General features: G+C 34.4%; 2 annotated features.

Moving 5' to 3' along the window:
- Positions 4,093 to 4,642: an enhancer, noted in NCBI's record as "OCT4-NANOG hESC enhancer chr2:58023570-58024119 (GRCh37/hg19 assembly coordinates)". NCBI's record gives its function as "activates a minimal SCP1, AML or CMV promoter by ChIP-STARR-seq in primed H9 embryonic stem cells {active_cell/tissue: H9 hESC(primed)}" and the evidence as "EXISTENCE:reporter gene assay evidence [ECO:0000049][PMID:30033119]".
- Positions 4,229 to 4,523: a silencer, noted in NCBI's record as "tiled region #308; HepG2 Repressive non-DNase unmatched - State 24:Quies, and K562 Repressive non-DNase unmatched - State 24:Quies". NCBI's record gives its function as "represses a minimal TATA promoter and a strong SV40 promoter by Sharpr-MPRA in HepG2 and K562 cells {active_cell/tissue: HepG2 | K562}" and the evidence as "EXISTENCE:reporter gene assay evidence [ECO:0000049][PMID:27701403]".

The following is a 7,351-nucleotide window of genomic DNA, read 5'->3' as shown; positions in this document are numbered from 1 at the left end:
GTTCCAGAAAAAGCTATCTATTAATTTCATATCATTAAAATTGAGTTATTGCCTTATAATCTAGATGGAACTAGGTTTTATTCTAATAAATAATTTAAACATGTGCTTTACCTATTTAAGAGTAAAATGTGTCTTGCATACCTTTTGAATGATGAAAACATTTATTTCCCATTACTTCATAAAGCAGATGATCTTGGAACGTGTTTTCTTAAGAATAATTGTTTTTAAGGATTTTCCATCATTAGTTCATCATTTCTGATTTGGGTAGGTATAGAAATTGGGTATTTTTCTTTGTCCTATATAGATACATTTCTATCCCAACGCAACTTGCCATTATGAGCTTCTTCAATTGTATTCCTTTCAATCGGTGTGTCTTTTCTGATCTATTAGCTAATCATTTATTTTAATGTTAATGTTTTACCAAATTTGTATTTTGAACTTTACATGAACAATATTAACATCATTTTTTGAGAATTGAGTAAGTTCCTACACACTATCAATGAAATATACTAATACTGAGTCTATTATAACAAGTCATTTAATAAATTATAAAACATTAAAAACTAAACAATATAGGAAGTTCATAAAATTATTGGCGCTGCACCTTTTGGTTTATATACTGTTTTCAGAATTAAAAAAGAATTTCCTAATTTAAGGAAACAGTGCATTTTACACATCTATACACACACATACACATGGGTGCACAAGTGTTTATGTCGTTGTGTGTGTGTGCGTGTGTATGTATATTGTTTATTATAAAGTCTTCCTCATCAATTCAATTTTTTTCTTACTCATCAACCTCTGTGATATTCGACCCATGTTACTGGTTTTTTAAGCTTAGAGAGAATTCTTTGATTTTCCTACTCCTTGCCATGATGTAGTCTATGTAGTCTAGTAATCTACATTTGATAACAAAAGAGTTGCTTGAGAGTAATTGAACACACACATGGTTCGGTGAGTACTGCATGCATTTTATCATATATTTGCTTAAGCATAAATAATTTAAGGAAAAGGATAAAAGTTGAAAACTGGTGTCTCTTATACAGTAAGAAGCTTGTGGGCAAGCTTAATCAGTCTGGTTGCATGTCCCATATTACCCTTGTTCCTTGCTGGCTTAGGCTAATATATTGCTTCTTATTTTTCAGAACATTTATTGTAATTTTTTAAAACATACATTTAAAAAAATTTTCCTCTTTCCATTTTATTTCATTAAAATTAATTTCAGGTAACTTTTCTTTTAATGAATTTCCACACATATGTACCTCTTTCAATGACTCCCCAAAATACAGGCTGTAAACTGATTAATGATTTCTCCTTCTTCACTGTGTAGCTCTTTTTCTCTTACCTGAGTGTTCTGTCCTCCATCTATTTTTTTCTGCCTCTATCAGAATTCTCTGCCATCCAGTCATGATGTTTATAATTTGCTTCCTGTGATACAGAAATAACAAGAGTAACTTGATGAATGGGATCCAAGCCGAAAACGGCTTTTTCCATTACACAGCATTGTGACATTATTTTTCTTACAACTCTTAATAACAGTATCTTTGTTATAACACTGCATAGACTTATTGATTCTATTAATACTTATGCGATTTGTTATTACCTCATATTTTTCTCTTGTAATAAGTTAATCACATTTGTTTCCTTAAGTGTTTTGTTACCTTATTTTTAAAGCAGAAACGATTAGAAATTCTATATATAAACTTTCTGTTTTTTGTATACTTTAAAAAATAAGCTTTATTGAGATATTGTTAACATACAATAAAATTTCCCAATATTGAATACATAATTCAATGAGATTTGAAAAATGTATACAGCCCTATAACTATCAGTGCAGTCATCAAACGTTTGCATCAGCCTGAAAATGTCTCCCATATCTCCTTTGACATCAATTTCCTACGTATACTCACTGACCCTGGCAACCAGTGATCTTTCTTTCACTATAGTTCTGCCTTTTGTAGAATTTCATGTCAGTGAAATCACACAGCATGTGCCCTTTTGTGTCTAGCTTCTTTCACTTAGCATAAGACTTTTGAATTTCACTCATGCTGTGGCATGTGTCACTGTATTTTTTCTTGCTGTTGCTGAATAGTATTCTGTGGTATGGATACACCACAATTTATTCATTTAGCATTTGGTGACTTTTTTAGTTGTTTCAGTTTTTGGTGATTATGAATGAAGCTGCTGTAAGCATTTGCCTGCTGAGTTGTTGTGTGAACATAAGTTTTAATTTCTCTTGAGTAAATATCTGGGCATGGAGTTGCTGGTACACATGTGTTGATATGTTAGACTGTTCTCCAGAGTGGCTGTAATATTTCACATTCCCACCAGCAATGTATGGCAGTTCCAGTAATTTTACATCCTCACCAACACTTGATGTTGTTAGTCTTTTTAATTTTAGCTAAAGAAGTGAGTGAGTATATATTTTTTAACATTTTTTTCCAATTGCAATTATTCACTTCTGTTTTTTTTACCAAGTTTATAATTATTACTATATCTACTGGATTGCATCATGCTTTTATTTTTTCATATGTTATATGTCATCTAACATTTTTATTTTGAAGATTGAAGCCTATAAATATATTATCATTTCTTGGTTTCTTTTAGTGCCTGATAACATAAGGTAACTAAAATCCAAATGTGAACAAATAAGTAGATCAGAGTGGGTCTGGCATGAGCATGTTAATAAATGATTTTTGCCATTTCTTTCTGAGAGCTAGAGATATAATATTTGAAAGAGATTTTATCTGACTTAAAACACTGGGTTTTATTGGTATCCATCAACTATCATAGAACTTACAAATGGAATTGCTTATTTCAAAAATATTACCAACCTGATATAGTGCAGGAACTAGTTTTTTCCAATACATTTTTATATCTTTTCAACAACTGAAGGATCACTATACGACTCAGCCCTGTCATTTCCTAAAATGGCTCGTTTTTATTCTTTGTCTCATTAGATAGCTTAGAGAACAGTGTACCATTGTCTATTAAAGAAGCTACTTTTATTTAATCCAATACCTACTTACATTTGTCAGAATTGGTGATTTTTTAACCTTTTTTTATAGCACTAACTGTTCTCAGATCTCTGGCTTTGTTCCCTGGATGTTAAAAAAGACACATAGTCACTTTGTTGAAGTCCTTCTTTAAAAATCCAGTGTAAATGAGAATCATCATCATCATCTCTATCGCTCTATTCTTTTCTAAGAATATTTCATTTCAATATATACTGGAGCTCTGATTTTTCTCACTAAGGCTCTGTTGCTACTTCATAATAATTACTTGGTTAAGTCATATTTTTTCATGAAAGAGTTAATACAGAAGTCAAAAGTAAATAATACTGAGTTGTGTAGCCATAAACTCTCTTTTCTCAAATAACTATACCTTGCAAGTCAACCCTTACTTCAGAAAAATGGTTGTAAACTGTTCTTTAAACTAGGTAATATATATTCATTTTTTCATGAATTACTTTGTCAAGTTCTATGTGTAAAGACAAATCAGAGTTTCATACAAACTTTTAGCTTTGTCAGATTTTATAAGTAAACAATATGATACTACTATGAAGTGTAGTTGTTATTAAAACAACAAGTTGATTCAACTTCTTGGGCAGTTCACTCTTAGTTCATGAAAGGGTTTTATGTTGAATGGAAGGCAGTTTTTCATGTTACATTTTCTCATAAAAACAAATTTTGTATTTTTGATTTTTAAATCTGGTATTATTAGTGAATAAAGACATTGGGAGTATTTGCACATAATATATTGAATGATGAAGCTAAAGAATGAATATCTGGAAATTATTTCATTTTATTTCTATGTTCAGTTAATAGTATTAACCCAGATTTTTAAATTTTATTTCAATTTAGAATACTGTTAAGGCATGAGCAACTGGAATCTTTTCTGATATGTGGAAAAAAAAATTGAATGATAAACCTGTATCAGAAAGAATTCAAAATTAAAGTTTTACAACATTTGCTCTAGTTATTAAATACTTTCTCAAACCTGAGCTATTTATTCCTTTACATCCTTCTGTATTTTGGTTCAGGATTGATTGAAATTATTCCAAATAACCTTTTAGGTCATCAGTAAGTATATTTAACGAATGACCAAATGCACACATCTTTACACTAGATTTCTGTTTTGATTTCTGAAAAGCCAGGCTGTTTTCTAGGAAACACACACTGTGGATTTTTCTAAGGTCAAAATTGCAGCAACCACGGGTAATTCTGCATATTTGCTTACTCACAAATCCCCGAAGAAGTATTGTATCTGACTCTTCTATAATGAATGTCTTCTTAGTCCAGCCTAAATCCTCCCTGGCAATTTGCATCATAGGAACCCCCACATCTGTTATATAGTAGGGCTGAATTCCAGAGAATTAAGCTCTCTCCTTAGGAGATAGTGCTCTCATTCATACTACACAGAGGGAGGGCATTCCTGCCTTCCCCCTAACTAACCCATTCCCTGGCCAGGAGAGTTATTCCTAATAGTGTGTGATCCAGAAAATTGATTATTTTAATACATTGTTCTTTATAAATGTGATTATTATAAACTAGAGCATTATGGCTTACCATCCAATTTGAAGTCTAAATTTTTCTCTGGGAATTTGAATATATGTGCTGTCTGATTTTTGATAAAATAGATTTTGAATTTCATTTGGATTATCTCTTAAGGAGAGGAAAACTATGACAGAATTTAATTTACCTCTTTTACGGAATGCATATGTTTGTTACACAGTACTTTTCCTTATTTGGTTATTTCCATTGTCTGCTCTCTATTACTTACTCATTGTACTTGTGAAAAGTTTATAGTTTGTTTATTGCTTATGAATTTTGTGTCAGAATTGATTTTAAAATAGGTTTCTTAGAACAATTTCTTTGGCTGAGTTGCTTTCATACTTTCTAACTTAGAAAAATATATAACAAAAATTCCTGTTTGAGATACAATGAAAATGCAAAATACCTTGATATAACATCAGGAAGAAAAACCATTTGGGCACTATATAATGAAAATGATAAAAGTTTGCTGAGACCTGAGACAATTTTTATCAAGTGAAGACTAAATGTACTCAAAGATGGCTGTTCTTAACATATTAATTCACAGAATTGATATAATTAAATTTTTTAAATGTTATTTAGAAAAATTTGGCACAGTAAATCTAAATCTAATGTTTACTTCTCAGAAGGAACTGGGGGAAATAGCTAATACAATCATTTGGTAAGTTGTAAAACTACTGATGGGATTTCAATACATGCTATCCCAGAATATGGCACCTTGGCATTTGAGAAAACAGCAGAAGCAGAAAGATCTCTCTGACCACCCCCTGCACTTCTCTACTGAAGCAGGCCATAAATAATTTTGTGATCTTCCCTTGAAGTAGGCCTTAGGACCCTCATTTGAGAGGTACTCTCCCTACACCAGGAGGAAAGGAATGTCCTTATCTCTGAAGACAAAGGACACAGAGAAGAATCTGAACAAACAGGCCTTGCTGAGGTCCCTTCCAGTTTATTATTATTCGCTCATATTCTCTTTATCCAATCATACTTCTCCATTACTTACCACTCTTGATCAAACCTAAGCATAAAAATAAACAAGTTTACCTGTGTTTTTCGGTTCTCCGTTTCTGAAGGCTTCTGTCACATAACTTACATAAATATGTATACTTTTCTTTATTAATCTGTCTTTTGTTGTAGGGGCCTCAGTCATGAGTCATAAATCTAGTGATGGGAAAGAAAGACAATTTCTCCTACACTACAATAATTAAGGCAGTGTGATTTTGACAAAAGAGTAATGGAAAAGAAGCAAAATCAAGATAGCTTCAAATATGTAAAATTTTGAGTTGGTATTATAATTAAGTGGAGGAATGATGGACTATTAAGTAGCCCAGGGACAATTGGTTAACAAATGTGGAAAAATTTAAATTAGGTTTGTTCTAGTTTTACTGTATATCATATACTAATATATATTCCAGATATTTAAAGATATAAAAGTATAAGATCTCTGAAAACTATAAAAAATAGAATTGACTGTCTGATTTAGTAATAATAAATAACTAAGCATAAAATTAAAAATCAACAGAGGGAGGAGGCAGAGCAAGATGGCAGAATAGAAGGTCCCACCCATCACTGATTGCCACCTCCTCCCTCTGCAAGGACATGAAGTTAACAACTATCTACATAGAAAAAAACAACTTCATAGGAACTGAAAATCAGATGAGCACTCACAGTACCTGTTTTTAACTTCATATTGCTGAAAAGGGCACTGAAAAGATTAGAAAAACAGTCCCGAATCGCCACAGACACCACTCCACTTCCACCCCTTCCCAATGCCTGGCAGCGGTGGTGTGGTGTGGAGAGTGTCTCTGGGCACTGAAGGTGGTAGAAAACAGCAATTATGAGGCATTGAACTCAGTGCTGTCTTGTTAGAGCTGGAAGAAAACCTGAACAAAACTCAGCTGATGCCCACTCACAGAGGGAACATTTAAACTTGAAAGGCAGTCTAGGCCATAAAAACTGTGACTCCTGGGAGAGTCCCAGTGCTGAACTAGGCCCGGTGACAGTGGACTGGGTGGGGCATGTGACATACTGAGACACCACCTGGGACAGCCAAGGGAGTGCTGGCATCACCCTTCCTTTAAATCCAGGATGCACAGCTCAAGGCTCCAAAAGAGACCCTTCCCATCTACCCGAAGAGAGGAGAGGAAAGAGTGGAGAGGACCTTGTCTTGCATCTTGGATATCAGCTCAGGCATATCAGGATCAGGCATCAGTCAGCGTCATGAGGCCTCTGTTACAGCTCCCAGATGACATTTCTAGACACACCCTGGGCCAGAACGGAACCTACTGCCTTGAAGGAAAGGATCCAGACCTGGCAGCATTCATCATCTGCTAACTGAAGAGTTCTTAGGACCTGAATAAACAGCAGTGATACCCAGGCACTACATTGAGGGCCTTGGTGAGCTTCTGAGACTTCCTGGTTTCAGATACCAACACTGCCACGGGAGGGTAGAGCACCAAGCAGGTTCTTGGGGTCCCTGATTCCAAGAACTCAGGGTCCCCATCCAAGGATTTGACTCTTGGATGGCATTTCTGAACCCCCCCAGAGCAGAGGGGAGCCCACTGCACTAAAGAGAGCATCTCAGGCCAGGCAGCGTTTACTGCAAGCTGACTTAAGAGACGTTGGCCCTTAAGGGAACATTGGAAGTAGTCTGGCAGTGCTCCTAATGTCCAAGAGTGTCAGCAGCTACGAGGTGAGGCTCCACTGCCTTTGGAAAAGGGAGGGAATAGTGGGAAGAGCCGTGTGTTGTGTTTTGCCAGCTTAGCCACGATATAATAGAACACAAGGTAAACTTCTAA

The sequence above is a fragment of the Homo sapiens genome, chromosome 2, assembly GCF_000001405.40.
Source record: "Homo sapiens chromosome 2, GRCh38.p14 Primary Assembly".
NCBI classification, from domain to species: domain Eukaryota; kingdom Metazoa; phylum Chordata; class Mammalia; order Primates; family Hominidae; genus Homo; species Homo sapiens.
The sequence above is the reverse complement of the archived record's forward strand: the minus strand, read 5'-3'. Positions and strand labels throughout refer to the sequence as shown.